Source organism: Homo sapiens, chromosome 12 (genome assembly GCF_000001405.40).
Source record: "Homo sapiens chromosome 12, GRCh38.p14 Primary Assembly".
Classification (NCBI taxonomy): Eukaryota; Metazoa; Chordata; class Mammalia; order Primates; family Hominidae; genus Homo; species Homo sapiens.
In genome coordinates, this window is record NC_000012.12 from 126402329 (window position 1) to 126420055 (window position 17727).

Consider the following 17727-nt stretch of genomic DNA (forward strand, 5'->3'; position numbering starts at 1 on the left):
GATGCTACTTAAGAGTGAGAACACACAATATTTGGTCTTCCATTCCTGAGTTACTTCACTTAGAATAATGGTCTCCAACTCCATCCAGGTTGCTGCAAATACCATTATTTTGTTGATTTAAAAAATTTCCACAAGACAATTACTTTGGGGGGAAAGGTTGCTTTATATCCTTAGTTATTAAACATTTTACTCTCAATCCAGCCTGCCTGGCCCACCTTTTGTTTAGTCAGCATAAGGTCATCTTAAATTAGCCATCTGGGCGGGGCGTGGTGGCTCATGCCTGTAATCCCAGAACTTTGGGAGACTGAGGCAGGCATATCACAAGGTCAGGGGATCAAGACCATCCTGGCTTACATGGTGAAACTCCGTCTCTAATAAAAATACAAAAAATTAGCTGGGTGTGGTGGCAGGCACCTGTAATCCCAGCTACTCGGAAGGCTGAGGCAGGAGAATCACTTGAACCTGGGAGGCAGAGGTTGCAGTGAGCTGAGATCACACTACTGCACTCCAGCCTGGGTGACAGAGCGAGACTCCATCTCAAAAAAAAAAAAAAAAAAAAATGCCATCTGTAGGAGTCAGGAGGCATTGAATCCTAAATAACAATGCAGTGTCCAGATTGAAAGCAATGCAGACTCCATGGACTAATGGATTACTGGTCTCAATGGAAGAGTCAGATTTAGAAGATAAAGGTTTGGCCCGTAGAAAATTTTAAAGTGGCTTCTAAGGCTATATTAGAGAGAAAGAGCGCCAGAAACAGCTATATGCTGACTAATGCTTTCACTGGGACATGGCAGAGTGCAGGCACAAAAGGTATTAACAGGTGGCTACAGAGGCAAGTCTATAATACAGAACAATGCCTTAAACTCCATCAGGAGTGAATCAGAGAAATCTTGTCTGACTCATTACTTTTGCATGTTATAGTTGGGCTGAAATTCTACATTTCTGTACCTGGCAAATGTTCTTTGAAATTAATTTTACATTTTTGTAAAATACAGAACAATGCCTTAAACTCCATCAGGAGTGAATCAGAGAAATCTTGTCTGACTCATTACTTTTGCATGTTATAGTTGGGCTGAAATTCTACATTTCTGTACCTGGCAAATGTTCTTTGAAATTAATTTTACATTTTTGTAAAATACAGAACAATGCCTTAAACTCCATCAGGAGTGAATCAGAGAAAGCTTGTGTGACTCATTGCTTTTGCATGCTATAGTTAGGCTGAAATTTTACCTTTCTGTATCTGGCAAATATTCTTTGAAATTAATTTTACATTTTTGAAATTTTGCATACTTGTATCTGGCAAATATTCCTTGAAATTTCACATTTCCTAGAAACTAAAGGCATTGCTGTTGTTGGAGAAAATACTATATAACTCTGCATTTTTAGGTTTATATTTATTTGAGAAATGTTACTGAAATGTAAACTGTTTTTGTCTCTTGATGGTAGGGGATATGGGTGACTGTATTAGGCTGCTCTTGTGTTGCTGTGAGGGAATGCCTAAGGCTGGGTAATTATTTATAAAGCAAAGAGGTTTAATTGGCTCATGGTTCTTCAGGCTGTACAAGCACGGCGCCAACATCTGTTCAGCTTCTGGGGAGGCATCAGGAAGCTTACGATCATGGTGGAAGGTGAAGCAGGAGCAGGCACGTTGTATGGTAAGAGCAGAAACGAGAGTGAGGGGTGGGGATGTCCCAGACTTTTAAACAACCAGACCTCGTGTGAACCAATGGAGTGCAAACTCACTTATCACCAAGGGGATGGTGGTAAACTATTCATGAGGGATTGGGCCTCCATGATTCAGTCACCTTCAAATCCATGATTTGGGCATCCATGATTCAATCACCTCCAAATCTCATGCTGAAATGCCATTCCCAGGGTTGCAGGTTCAACATGAGATCTGGAGGGGACAAACATCCAAACCATAACAGTGAGTTTAATTTTTCTTTAAGTTTTTAAAAATAATCTGTATGTTCTGATTATTCTAAAGTGATTGTGTGATTGTATTTCACGTAATCAAATACATCTATAAGAAAAATGGAATGGTTTTAAAATGAAAAATGTCATTAGCTGCAAAATGAGGCTGCAGGGTTGTCCTCTGGCAGGGGAATGTTCTCACACATATCTTGTTATTGTCTTGTTATCATGATTCAGTCTGATGGGAAAATGTCACCTTTCACTACTGTGATTAGCTCATGTCATTTTATCCTCACCCTGGCTCAGACTCGTAACTCACAGAGAGGTGCCTTTTTTTCCCCTTAAAATCACTGAAGGCATGAATCATAGCTATGTACCTTCCTGATTTAGGGCATATTTGTGGCAGAAACGCATGAATGAATATGATGATTATTTACTTATGAACCTAATCAGAGATTCAGGCATCAGTCTTCCCAGGATGAACTCAGATGGACTTGGTTCAGAAGGAATAAATTACAGGGCGTGTCCATTTGTGATGCACCTGCATAATATGTGGATGTTGTTTTCACACGATTATGACTGCCATGATACATGAATTTTGCATGGTTCTACTTTAAAGGATATAGTTGTTAAGTTGCCAAATTTATAACTTTAGATATTATTCCAATTTGTTTTTGTTTTCAGATAGAATTTCCGTCTGTCTCCCAGGCTGGAGTGCAGTGGCACGATCTCGACTCACTGCAACCTCCACCTCCTGGATTCAAGTGATTCTCCTGCCTCAGCCCCCTGCGTAGCTGGGATTACAGGTGCCCACCACCATGCCTGGCTAATTTTTGTATTTTTAGTAGAAACGGGGTTTCACCATATTGACCAGGCTGGTCTCCAACCCCTGACCTCAAGTGATCCAACGACCTCGGCCTCCCAAAATGTTGGGATGACAGGCATGAGCCACAGTGCCCAGCCAGTTTTCCAATTGGAAACGGCCACCTGAAACTTTTTTTAATGACTGTGAAATATGACTTGTCATTAAATGATCAGATTTTAAAAGACCTAGAAAACTCAAAAGAGGTAACAATGAAGTAACTATTTCTAACATAAAATAATTTCCTCCTCACCCACCTTGCTCAGATTTCCTAGGTCACCTTGAAAGGATCCGTGCTTTAGAAGCAAACCTTAACAACGATGTTCCTGTCATTTAACACTTAAAAAAGCCTACCTTTTGATTCTAATGAATTGATGTATCTTTTTGATGGTCGTTTCTAACAGAGATGAAGAGCTCTATCCTTCTGGCAAGATAAAATGAGGATAATTAACCTCTAGGAAAAATAGGGGTACAGTTTTAAAACGCATAAAAAGCAGTTTTTTTGTTTTTTTTTTTTGAGATAGGGTCTCACTGTGTGGCCCAGGCTGGAGTGCAGTGGTGCGATCTCTGCTCGCTGCAGTCTCCACCTCCTGTGCTCAAGTGATCCTCCCACCGCAGCCTCCTCAGTAGCCGGAACTATTAGTGTGTACCACTACGCCCAGCTAATTTTGGTATTTTTGTAGAGATGGGGTCTTGCTATGTTACCCAGGCTGGTCTCAAACTCCTGGGTTCAAGTGATTCACCCACTTTAGCCTCTCAAAGTTCTGGGACTGCAGATGTGAGCCACAGTGTCTGGCCTAGCAATTATTCTTAACTGCAGTGTAGTTTCTGAGGGCAAAGTCAGTTTTGGACTTAATTTATGTTTATTTAAAAAGGATATTTTTCTACTTTTTCCTTTCTCACCTCAAGTGCCAGCAAACTAGAGCTGAAAAGTCTTCAAATCTATTGGCCTCCTGTGCTTTTCACTGTTTATTGTCTCTTCAACAGGCACTCTCCCTCTTCCTTCTATGACAAGGACCCTGATTCGACACGGCTGCCCATGTTCCCAGCTCCAGGAGATAAACGAAGTCAAACCTAAGCCACTCATGACAAATTTGTCTCCTGTGTAATTGGTCTAGGCACAAGCACATGACCCATTTATAGACAATGAGACAGGTGGGACGTCTTAAAGCACTGGAAATATTTTTCTCCTTGACACATAGAAAGTAGTCACACTTGGTAAAGACCTTCAACTGCGCTCACATTCTGTCCTGCTTTCTGGGGACCACATGATGGTGCCTGAATCAGAGGCAGCCACCTAGGGACCATGAACGACTAAGCCTTAAATAAGCTAAAGAAGGCAGGAGAGGATGGAAAAAGACCTCCAGGAATTTCCAAGTCAACCCTGGGAGTGTCCACCATGGTAGGCTAAACAATGGCCTATCAAAGATGCCCATGTTCTAATTCCCAGGACTGCTAGGTCACTCCCTACATATAATTGAACCTCTGTGGAATTGAAGGATCCATGGAAGAAAGATGAAAACCGTTTGTTTATGTAAAAGACAGAGCAAGTATACTAAAATCACAGAGCGGTCACTTAATAGTAGGTTTTGAAAACTTAATTTGCATGGGAAAATACTATACACAGTTTTAAAATCAAATTGATACTGTCTTGGTGCCATTTTAAAAAATCAGAACAAAATTCTAAATTTGCAGATCTGGTAGCTCTGTAAGTATGGTTTTATGGTAGAGTATGGTTTTTTTTATTCCATATTTTAAAAACAATAGATAAATAAGCTTTCTGCAGTCTATATGCTGAATTACATTAATAGGCACGTATATGTTGTTTACATTATAATTACATTTCCCATATATTATGTCATTGAATCTTTACAAAAACCTGTGTTAAGTATTATATTTCCCAGTTAATTCTAATGCCTAAATGCTTATTATCTAGAAAAGTTTAGAAAACTTTTTCCGTAAAGAACCAGAGAGTAAATATGTTATGGTCTCTATTACGAATACTCAACTCTGCTCTTGTAACAACAAAGCAACCTATAAAATATGTAAATGAATGACTGTGGCTCTGTTCTAATAAAAACTCTATTTGTAAAAATAAGCAGCTCCCCTAGGCCATAGTTTGCCCAACTCTGACCGAGATAATTTATTCCACACTGATTTGTGTATGGTGATCTTGTATGTATGGTGATCTTGTATTCTGCCACCTTGCTGAACTCACTTATTAGTTTTCATCTTTTTTTTTTGTACATTTCTTGGGATTTTCTACATAGACAATTAAACACACACTCCTAAGTGAAATAAACCAAACTCAAAAGGTCAAATACTGTGTGACTTCACTGCAAAAGGCAAAACTATCAGAACAGGAAATAGATTCGTGGTTGTCAGGAGGTGGAGTAGAGTGTGGGTTAGATTACTACGGGGGATGAGGGAGGTTTTGGAGGGATTAAACTAACCCCATGTCTTTGTAGAAGTGGTTAATTTACATATGGTGAAATTTGCTGTTTTAATGTATGGTTCTGCAAAATATATCAAATTTGTCAAATTTTGTAGAACCAAACAAAACAATAAATGTCACCATATGTAAGTTATATTCTAATTGAAAATTAATTCAAAAACCAGATCTCTTGACTTGTTCTGTTCTGTTCTTGGATAAAATCACAGGCACAGTTCAGAGTCTTGCTGATTCTTTTTATTACATAAAATATCTCATTGTAGTAATTGGAGTCTTGTGCAGTATAATATCAAAATTCTGCCTTTTCATTCAATTTAATGTTTCTTTTTTTTCCATTTCAGGCCCTTGTTGAATTAGAACACTGCTGCTAAAATTGAAAGCATGGTAAGTTTTTCTCTTTCTCATTCCTTCTCCATGTCCCCTTCCTATAAAATTGGATAAGAGGAGAGAAAAGGAGGTGAATGAGCAGAACATGTCTTACCTCACCTGCACAGTAAAGACCTGGTGTCAGCACCTCCTAGCTAAAGTGAACTCACCTTTTCTCTTGTTATATGCTTTTGTGAGTTTCTGGAAGAGCATTATGCAATCTGTGGACGTTTTGAGAAGAGTCAATCAACATGTGTTTAGGGGAATCCCACTGTGGTGGGTCATCCTCAAAGGCAGCTCCAACCTCTCCTCCTGCCATGTATGCTCACCCCGCTCCTCTGATCGAGAGAGAGAGTCTCATTCCCCTCCCATAAAACTTATACTGTCAGTTTTCAAATTTAAATTTTATTTAATTAAAGTTACAAATTCAGTGTCTCAATTGCACTAGTATCATTTCCAGTGCCTCATTTCCGGTATTCAATCTACCTTATAGATGTAGATGTTCAGCGTCTACCTTATTGATGTAGATGTACCAGCATCTTCCTGGACGAGCAGGAACTCACAAAATGAGTTTTGTGGCTATGAGGATCATAAGTAATACCTCAGGATTCCAGGAGAGAGTCTCCTTGGAGTTTCTAGTGTGATGACCACACACAGCATTCGACTAGCATTGTTGATGGAGGTTTTTCCATAAGGCAATTCCTCCTCTTCAAACTCACTTCATAGAACTCCAGTTATTTTGAAAATTTCTGCAGCCCAGGGTTCAAGCTGGCTCTCTCTGATTTGGGGTCCTACCCCATAATGCTTATTTGGCTTGTAAAACCCCTCAGCTCCTTGTCACCATCAAGGTGGAGTGGCTTCAGAGCAGTGACAGTTGTGAGACCTATGGATGGGGTATTCTGTTGGCAAAGGCAAGTGCTGTGTGGTGGAGGCGAGCACAGGTTTCTCATGGAATCCAGATGTCCAGCCTCACAGAGAGATGACTTCCTACAAGGCTATCCTGCCAGTTGCTATGTGCAAGGCGTGCTCTATCATCCTCTTCTCTCTGGACATTTAAGCCTTAACCACATCCTCCTTGTGAACAGTTAAGTCCTGAGCTAACTTTAGAGAAACCCTGTGCTTCTTTCCTGAGCATCCCATGCCTGCCTTGCTCTGTGGACCCAGATGCATTTATGGCACTTGGTACTTAAGGAGCACATTCTCGGCCATGGGCCATGGGTCACTCATTCAGTTTCTCAGTTGAACTGGTATCATTTCCAAACCATCACTTCCAGTGTGTTCAACATCTACCTTATTGGACAATGCCTGGTTGGAGAGTCACTCATGCTTCTTACAGTAATGTTATTTAGGTGCTTCCAAGACAGCCATGCCTTGGTCACTCTTCATGGAATTAGAAGACAGGAGCCTGCCAATTACAGAAAGTTTACTTTTGGCAAAAGAAAGTCTATTTTTGTCTTTCCTCTTTCAGTGTTTCTCAGTGTTGACATTTGTTCACCCTAAATACATGTAATATGTAGGCAATTTAGCTCATTTTCATCACTGTCTCATGATTTAAAATGTCTTCCTTGACTGACCAAGCTTAAAAGGGAGAGGCGTAGCAATGCTGTTTGTGTTTGGTTTGTTTTTAAATCTTAGAAGTAGAACCCTTAGAAAGTTAATGGGTGCTAAACAGACTGGCTCAGTCCTCCACCTTCATATGTCCATATTGTTTCTGTAAACTAAAAGTAAATCCTAAGCCCCCAAACTAACCAAGAGGTCTTGGCCAAGAGGACCCCAGAGAAATCTGAAAAACATAGTCCTGTATCATGATGTGATGGAAGGTCGGACACACTTCTCTATATCCCGTTTTGGAGTTTAGGCAAAACTGACTAGTGTTAATGTTAAATTAGAGATTATATGACCGAAAAAACAGACTGTTTGTGGCAATAAGATACCAAATTATAAACAAGACATAAGGCCATTCAAAGTAAGAGTTAATTTGTGCCTGCAGACCATCAGCCTTGCTATACATCATTTTTATCTTAGAACATTTCCACTTTGGGAGGCCACGGCAGTGGATGGGTTGAGCCCAGGAGTTTGAGACCATTGTGAGCAACACAGTACAAGACGAAAAATACAAAAATTAGCTTGGCATGGTGGCACAGGCCTGTAGTCCTATAGCTACTTGGGAGGCGTAGGTGGGAGGATTACTTGAGCCCAGGAGGTCGAGTCCGCAATGAACTGTGATTACACCACTACACTCCAGCCTGAGCGACAGAGCCAGAGCTTGTCTTAAAGACAAAACAAACAACAACAAAAAAACACTTTTTCTTTTCAGACCTCTCTTTCTAAACAAAGCCTTACTCCTTTGACCCATTGCAAATTGAAGAATCTCTAAATCCACCTACAACCTGTAACCACTCCCCACTTCAAACTGTCCCACCTTTTGGGGCTGAACAAATGTGTGTCTTCCAGGTATTGATTTATGTCTTTGCCTGTATCTCCTGCCTCCTTGAAATGTAAAAAATATACTGTAATCCAGTCATGGCATGGTGGCTCACACCTGTAATCCCAGCACTTTGGGAGTCTGAGGCGGGAAGATCACCTGAGGTCAGGAGTTTGATACCAGCCTGGCCAACACTTCTCTACTAAAAATACAAAAATTAGCCAGGGGTGGTGGCACGCGCCTATAATCTCAGCTACTTGGAAGGCTGAGGATGAGGGATGAGATTAGCTTGAACCCAGGAGGCAGTGGTTGCAGCGAGCCGAGATTGTGCCACTACACTCTAGCCTGGGTGACAGAGCAAGACTCCATTAAAAAACAAACAACCAAAAATAAAAACAAAACTGTAATGTGACTGCCTCCGTTGAGATTGTGATGCCTGGGGCCATGGTCACTCATACCAGCTCAGAGTAAACCTCTTTAAAATATTTTACAGAGTTTGTTTTTCTTTCATATTTTCATTCTCAGAGGATCCCCAGGAACCTGTGTCAGTAATTCCCTGAAGCCTGTTCTGAAGTTTTATGGAATCACCCCTATTGGTTCCATAGGAGAATGACACAAGGGCGACTACATAAAACAGAGATAGAGTCTTCTCTCTACCTGGGATGCAGCCCCACACCCATCAAAGCTCCCCTTGGGGAACGAAGCCAAGCAAATAAGAACAACCTTCTTTGTGAGTTTAGATGAATGACATGAGTCAGTCTCTTTATGCCTGGCTAAAACCAGAGAGTCATTTACTTGTTTAGAGCAGTAGAAACAAAGGCAATTTTGAGCTACCAGAGTGTGAGATTTTGACTTCCTATTGACACTGATCTCTTCCCAAGTTGCATCCCCATGCTCCTGTGAAGATGCTTAGATTGATCTCTGAGAGGAAGGCACAGCAGGTCCTTCATTTCATTTTCGCAGAGCAAATTGTCGGCACTGTTGTGAGTAGATGAGGTGGTAAGAGTGAGCTTGGCTCTCATTCCCATGGGCTATGTTTTCGTGTGACTATAGAGGCTGGATGTGTGCAGTCGCCCTTTCTGGAACGTAAACCTACCCAGGGGTGGTCAATTCCTCAAGTGCAATAAACTCAGAGTGATCTGACACAGGGTTGTTAGAGTTCTAATTAAGAAAAAGTATAAAGTGGAGAAACTTGGAAAACTGAATGTTTGAAACTAGCTAGATACGTGTTGGTTTCACTGAATTTTCCTTTGCTCTTTTTTTTTGGAGAAATTTAGATCTTTGAAGCAAAGCAGAAGAAGAGAAAATGGCTGTCATGGAGATGCAAAAATAAGAGAGAAGTTCAAAATAAAGTGATGGGGAAAGGGTCAATTTCTGCAGCACAATGGCCAGGATTATCACTGAGAGGAGGCAGTGAGGGTGGATGGGAAGGTCTCTCCTTTCGACCTCTCTATTACACAGACAGCATCCAGAGGGACAGTCAGTAAGGAAAGGTGAAAAGCTAAGAGATAGACTATTGGGCTAGGTACAATGATCTCTGCAACTGAAGGTTAGGAACATGATTTCACCAACACTCTTATGAGGACTAGAACAAGTAAATGAGGTACCACCACTTTGGAAAACTCTGTGGCACTATTAACTAATGGCAAAGCAATATTATCTAACACCTGCAGTTAGTATCTATTCATCAGTACTACTCCTGGTTATCTGCCAAGGAAAATGGGCGCATATGCCCATCAAAACGCGTGCACAAAACATGTTTCTAGCAGCCATATTCATAACACCTAAACCTAGAAATAATCTAAATCACCACTTAAAGTTGAATGGATAAAAAATATTGTGGTGTATTTATATGGAATACCATGCTGGAATTAAAAGTAAAAAGTAAAAAATGTGTCATTGATATACACATAGCAACTTGGATGGATCACACAGAAATAATGTACAAAAGATGTCACCCAAAGGCCAGGATTTGTATTATTTCATTAATAAGAGATTTAAGAACAGATAACAATCAAAAACATGGCAATAGAAGTGAATGCTGAGAACATAGAGTGCTGAGTATTTAAAAGGGCAATAAGGAGCCTTCTGGGGTGTTTGTGTGTGGGTGTGTATATATATGTATGTGTGTGTATATATGTATGTATATGTATATATTTGTATGTATGCATGTGTGTATATGTATATATGTGTATATATGTGTGTATGTGCACATAAGTATGTATGTGTGTGAGTATATGCATGTGCATATGTGTATGCATGTGTATATATGCATGTATATATGTATGTGTATGTGTATGTATGTGTATATATGTATGTACATATATGTGCATGTGTGTATTATACGTGTGTGTGCATGTGTGCATGTATATGTGTATATATGTAAATATGCACATATGCATATGTGTATTATGTATACGTACACGTATATGTTTATACATAAGTATATATAAATATGTACATGTATATGTTTATACATAAGTATATATAAATATATACATAATATATACAAGTATATTTAGAAATACACTTGAGATTCCACCATACATATATTATACATTTATACATTAATAACTTTGTTAAATAGTGAATTTTCTTTTGAATTAGAAAAACAAGCAATAATAAAAATACATCATAGCTAAGAATTATTGATCCCTTATGATGTCAGGCATTTTATATTTATTTGCTCATTTTCTCCTAACAATAAACTTATAATGTACTGAATTTTAATCCCTATTGTATAATGAGGAGACCATGGCTCATGAAGGCTAGTAAAATAGTAAAAAATTTGTCCAAGACTCATCCACAGCAGATGAAGTAGCGATGTCAACACTTGAGCTAGCACTTCACAGCAGAGTCTGAGAAAGAAAGAGACTGAAGCAGAGGGAATACTAAGAAGGATATTATATACAGGAAAAAAGAAGAAAAGGAAAGTGGAAGGAGTGTGTCAACTCTGCCCCCGTGTTTGCAAATCTCTTCCAAGGTGCTTTAAAAATCCCGTTCTAGGATGGCCAGCCATCCAGGTGTGGCATTGAAAGTTCTGCACCCTTGGAAATCCTCCTCAGACTGTGAACAGTCCTGAATTTTAGCAATGGGTGTAAAAGACTTTAGAGGACAGTATAAGACTCATATGGTAGCCTCCAAACGGGTGCTGAACAATGCTGTTTTGAGAGTCAAAGGGTCCCAGCATGGCTTATCTACCTCTGCCGTGGCTGTCTCTCTTCTTTCCCCGACCACCTTGGATGCTGGCAAACATCATCTGAGGTTCAGACTAAGGGATCATTCATTATTCCATTTCCCTCTCTCCCTGTGATGCAACTTTAGTGCACCGAAGTCATCAGCCCTAATGGTTCTCTGTAACTTTACCTGTGGATTAACTACTGTGCTTTTTATAGAAATAGAGCTTACTTATTTTTTTAACATTGTGACTATTGTGCCCATGTTTTGTAAAAGTTCAGACCATAAAAATGAGAATGAGTGTGATACTAATGCCATCATGGCCCAGCCATAACTGAAAAAATAATGTTTTAAAAAGGTGCTATTTCAATGGTACACACATAAAAATAGATAGGAAGGTTAAGTCACCAAAACAAAGCATCCTGTACGTTATGCAGAGAAGGATTGGATATGGGCATTGTAGAAAAGAGGACGTGATCCCATATATGGAGACTAAATCTCACAAGTCTTGGATGGGACAGGCAAGCACTTGTAAATCAATCACATTTTCTCATCTCCTCAAAAGACACCAATGCCCAATTGAAGATAGTGGCTACTGAATAAGCCCGGAAGATGTCGCAAATGAACATACCTGGTTGTATGGTTCCCTTACCCTGTCTAAGAAACTGACTAATGTTCCATATCTCAATCCAACGGTTGAGACTAAAATGGCTTATGGGCAAACAAACAGGGGATTCTGATGGCAGACGTATGAGCCGTCACCTATAGAGCTGATTCTGTCAGCTCTTATCAAGGGTCATGCTTTCTAAGCTACGTCAAGAGATGTGGCCAATCCCAAAGGCAAAAAAACTGTTCCCCTTAGCTCTTAGGTATATTGCTTTGAACAGTGGAAGCTCAGATGTCTCTTTGATTCCACAAAGATTTTTTAAAAACTGTGAAAGATATTAAATATATGTATTACATACATACATACACACATGCATTATGTTCAGATGCAAACTAGAATTTCCTAACTTAACTACATATTTGGGCAAGAGTGCAAATGTAAATCTTGGCAAATCCCATTCTATCTATAAACTCTCCCCCAAAATAAAAAGATTTTATGCTAAATATCCAGTATGTTCCATGCACACTGATACGTAGGGATGTGTTTTGCCTACCTATAATATGAGGTTTTCAAAATGTAAGTGTCAGTCTATTTTTCTGTTTCTTTAAAATGTGCTGAAGCACTTAGGGAATTTATTTTACTTTATAGAAACAGAAAGACACGGCCTTCTTAGATATTTACCTACAAGATGGCTATTAGGTTTGCTCTAGAAAAGATGTTAAAATTTTGGCTTGCCATGAAATAATATTTTCAAACTGTAGGAGAAAAAGTATGTTTTTCTATAATGTGGAAATACATAGGGATGAGAACAGAGAGAACTAGCATATTTAAACAAATCTATATGTTGTTTCTCTAAAGGTGTTTGATGTGATTTAAGAAAGCCATAGAAGAAAATGAATTGATCCACCTGAAATATTTTCGTTATATGTGTAGCTTGCAATAAAATCTCATACAGTGAAATAAATGTCACCTATTTTTGGAAATAAGCATGATTCAGAGCTACAAATTAAATAGGAGAGCAAAGCATAAAAGATCATCTGTAGTATACTACCATCATGTGAGAAGTGGATATAAGAAAATATGCATGAATGTAGTCATTTGTACAAAAGAACTACAGGAAGGAACAACTCGAAATAAATGAGGTTGCCTGCAGGGTGAGGGTAGAAAGAGAACGTGATGAATCGAGGATGAGGATGAGATTGCAGGTATCAGGAGGAGTGGCATTCCTCTGAGTACACTGTTTTTTAATTGCTGCCTTGTGGAATCATGGTAATGTTTTACATACTTCCTAAATAAATAAATAAAATCAACCAAAATGCGTGTGGTGGGTGGGGGAGGGCAGAAAGAAAGGAATGCAAACAGTACATAGAGACATCCATATTACAAATGAAAAACATCAACCTACTGAGAGTGAGAACGCAAAGAACTAACTTAAGCAAGTCTGGAAAACAGCATTTTGGCAGTACGCTAAAAGGCTGAAGACTAAAAGAACTGTACACTGATGTTTTCATATAGTAGCACATTTGTTTCTCACAAAGTTATAAGTTAGCAATTCTGAAAACTACTTTCTATGAATTCTGAAACTACTTTGTATGTATACTAGGATTGAACACACATGTAAAATATATGGTAGAGCCAGGTTTCTCAACAATGGAGGAAAACTACACATATGGAAGTGGAGAAGGCTAGAGTGAACCCAGGCATGTTAGATCAGAATGTGAAGTATTAGAGAAATTGCCCCTTGAACAACATGGGTTTGACCTGTGTGGGTTCACTTATATGCAGAATTTTTTCAACCAAAGATAAAAACAACATTCATGGGATGTGAAACTGAGGTATACGGAGGGCTGACATTTCCTATATGTATGCTTCATGGAGCCAATTGCAGGACTTGAGTATGTGAAAATTTAGTATATACAGCAGTCTTGGATCCAATTCCTCACCTACACCTAGAGGCAATTGTATTAACTCACACCCATACACACAAACACACACCCATGTGCAGATGAATAGATACATAAATAAAGATGCATGTACACACAACTTAATACACACACATATATTCTCTAGCTCTGTCTTTTAAAAGGGCCTAAGCAATGGCACCCCAGTAACAATGAGACCTCCTGTTTCCCAGATCTTGGTCTCTAATACCATATTCCAATAACATAAATCAGAGTTTCCTGGAAAAAAAAAAGGTGATTATTGGGCTGAGACAGAGGAATTACTGGATAAGCCTAGAGCATCTTAGGGTGCTCAAAAATAAGAAAAAACTCAACCGTGATGAAGGCCTATTGAAAGGTCATAGAAACCAAATTGGAGGAGATCAAGATATTTGAAGCTGGAACAATTTGAACAACAAAGTGTGGTAGTATTGAATAACTCAAGAGAAAATATGATATTGATGTTAATCAATAAATCAATAGTGGAGAAAATATAGCTTTTTAAGGAGTAGAATCACCATGAAAATGCAGAAAAAATATGTGAAATAGGAAATCATCTTGAGACCAATTCTACAGTAATAAAATTATTGGCTAATGTCAGTATACTTTTGACTTTTAAAGTCAAAAGTTTTAAGAGAAACGTAGTATTTGCCAAGGGTCAAAGTATCTGTCTACAGACACTTACTCATTACAAAGAGAGGCCAGTAATTTCAAATGAAGACACTAAGTAGATACCACTTTAAGCAATACAACTTAACATCACTAATAAAACAAAATATTGGCTGGGCACGGTGGCTCATGCCTGTAATCCCAGCACTTTGGAAGGCCAAGGGGGGCGGATCACTTGAGTTCAGGAGTTTGAGACCAGCCTGGCCAACATGGTGAAACCTCGTCTCTACTAAAAATACAAAAATGAGCTGGGCATGGTGGTGGGTGCCTGTAATCCCAGCTACTTGGGAGGCTCAGGCAGGAGCATTGCCTGAACCCGGGAGATGGAGGTTGCAGTGAGCTGGGATCACGCCACTGCACTCCAGCCTGGGTGACAGAGCGAGACTCCATCCAAAAAAAAAAAAAAAAATCAATGCCCCTGCACCACCTGGTATGATGCACTCAGAATGGCACAGCCTCTGTTATGTGGATTTATATCAAAATAAACAGGACATGGGAAAAATGCAAATTGAGGGCCATTCTTCAAAACAATTGACCAGTATTCTTCAATAGTGGAAGGTCATGAAAGATAAAGCAGTGTGTGGAACGATCACAGATTGGATGAGACTAGGGAAATATCATAAACTTAGTCCAAAATGGATCCTGAACCAGAAAAAAAAAGCTGGTGTGGGAGGGAAAGTAAACTTGTGAAATTTTGATAAAGTTTGCTGATATAATAGTATTGCGTCAATGTAAATTTCCTGATCCTAAGCATCGAATATGGTTATGTAAGTAACATCAGGAGAAATTGGATGAAGAATATTTTGGAACTCTCTGTACTAATTTTTAGGCTGTTCTGGGAGTCTGAAATTATTTAAAAAGTGATTTATGCTATTTGGTATGAGCTATTCCAAAGATTCAATGCTCTTTAAAGTTGATGTATCTCTGGGTCCGGAATGATTCAGTGGCTGGGTTTGAGTTACATTTTACCTGAATTTGCAAGAGCTATAGGATTTTTAACACAGAATATGAAATGGGGTATGAATTTATGTTTTTGTTGCTATGGTGATTTACATTGTTACTATTTTAATACCCTCATCAAATGCAGGCGTTCCGTGGCAATATGGCACCTCTACATAATTTAATACCAAATCATGCATAACGAAGTGCGGCACCATTTGCAAGATAAAATGAGGAAATTAAAAGCAAATAGAAGTATATTACCCAAGTCCAAAACCTATAAATAATTGAACAGTAAGTGTGAACACTCTATAAAGGAGATTTATTGATAGGAATTGATATGTATAATAAATAGTGCAAAACTTTTATTACTAATAAAGGAAATACCTTTGAACATCCACTTTTCAAAATCTCTAACTCTCTACTAGAAAGAAAGTAAACACATTTTGGTTAATTTTCAGGACATGTGGCAGGGAGAGGTTTTACACAGAGTTTAGTGATGAATTTTTAATCATTGACTACTGGGGTATTAGCTTTTGTGAAGAATATTGTCATATAAACATTATCATTTACTGCAGACTGAATCTGTATCCCAAAAATTTCCAACCAGTTAAATCAGATGACTGATGTGCATTCCTGTAATTTTCTTATTTTACTTACTTTTTACTTAATTCAAATGTCTATCATTAAGAAAACTGCATCAACATTTTTCTCTGTTGTTTCATTAACACAGAGAATCATGTGGAAGTTGCTTTGCTGTTATTAATGGGGAATTTCTACTGCTATTGGTGCTTTTCTGGGTCGTGGTAGCTGCACTGATGTAACCAAGGAAGCTTGTTTCCCCGGAGGCGAATTTGAGGGGGAAATGTGGCCTGGAATGAATTTCAGAATTAGAACAGAAACCAGTTCTTTATCATTCCATGAACAAGTGCTTTTCCAAATAGCACGTCACAAGCCACATTCATATATCGGGCTCTCAGTCAGCTCCTGAATGCAAGTATTTCCTATGAGAAGAAAGTTGTCAAGGGTAACAAACTTTCCATATGCAGACATTTTGAAGTAGGATTTTCTAATTGCCCTGTGGTACTGTGAGAATTGTCACTGTTGGCATGCAAATTAAAGTAGGAGTGAATTCCAATATTAATTCATCAAGCCATTGTGAAATTGTTACTATATACAAGGCTGTAAACGTGATGATTTTGGATAAGCTCTTAATCTCTCTCTACCTCATTTTTCTTAGATATGAAATGATAATAGTAATACCCACCTTAATATAAGTTAACTGCTTATAACAGTTCCTGGCACTGGAGCTTCATGCATGGTGGGTTGCCATGAAGCAATAGAACATTAACGCAATTATTAACTATTATTGTCGTGATGATGATGATGATGATGATTGTATACTCCCCTCCCTTTTCTATGTGGATGAAATTTGTTACCATATTTAACAAAAGGGAGATTATCTGGGTGGTCTAATCTAATTGCACGAGCCCTTAAAAAGCAGAGAGTTTTCTCTAGCTGAGAGCAGAAGAGGAAGTCAGTGACTCCAAGCCCATGGGGGATTTGATGTGCCCATTGTTGTTCTGAAGACCAAGAGGGGCCAAAGAATGTGAGCAGCCTTTAGAAATTGAGAGTGGTCCCTGGCTGATGGCCAAGAAAGAGACAGGGACCTTGGTCCTGCGTTTTCAAGGACAGGATTTTAACCAAGAGCCTGAATGTGATTGCAAGCATATTCATCCCCAGTGCCTCCAGAACAGAGCCCAAGTAACTGATCAGCATTTTGCTTTTGGCCTTTTGATTCCCTGAGACAGATCCAGTGGAGCCCCCTTTAGACTTGTAACCTACAGCACTGTGTGATCATAAATGTTTTCTAAACTACTGAATTTGTGCGAATTTGCTAGGTATCAATTAGAAAAATTATGCAGTAATGATGCTATACGCCACTTCAGGAGGGATTGAAATGATAGTTTATCATTGCTAACACATATTGAACATGTACATCTACCAGACACTGTGATAAGTGTTTTGCTTGAATTGTTTTATTTAATCTCTCCACAATGGCATAGGGTGGGTTCTCTTACGAATACCATTTGAGGTAAGTGAGGCAAACAGATAGGTTGGGTCCCATGAGGAAGGTCATGTAACTAGCAGGAAGCTGAGCAGGAATGTGAATTCAACAGTGCCTGGTCCGGGGCACACATTCTCAATCACTGGGCAATATGGACCCGTCTTTGTCTTTATTGGAATTTGAAGTCCGTGAGGCCAAACATGACAAGCGTTATGTGGGGCATACAGGCAAAGTGAGGCAAGAATTCAGAGAGGTCTTGGGCTTTTCATGGGGCACTAATAGGAAGATGCTGTTATTTTTGGAAAATG

The 17727-nt window shown here is 39.0% G+C and overlaps 2 long non-coding RNA genes across 2 annotated transcripts in view; one reads left to right on the top strand and one right to left on the bottom strand.

The window, feature by feature from the left end:
* The window catches only part of LINC02825 (long intergenic non-protein coding RNA 2825), a 48536-nt gene that overhangs the window by 1537 nt on the left and 29272 nt on the right, over window positions 1–17727 (bottom strand). Inside the window, exon 3 of the long non-coding RNA NR_147498.1 lies at window positions 3131–3200. This is a non-coding gene — a long non-coding RNA (long intergenic non-protein coding RNA 2825). The remainder of the gene's footprint in view (window positions 1–3130; window positions 3201–17727) is intronic.
* Window positions 2599–5097, top strand: LOC124903048 (uncharacterized). The gene is made up of 2 exons (XR_007063515.1): window positions 2599–2720; window positions 3764–5097. It is a non-coding gene; the product is annotated as an uncharacterized LOC124903048 (long non-coding RNA).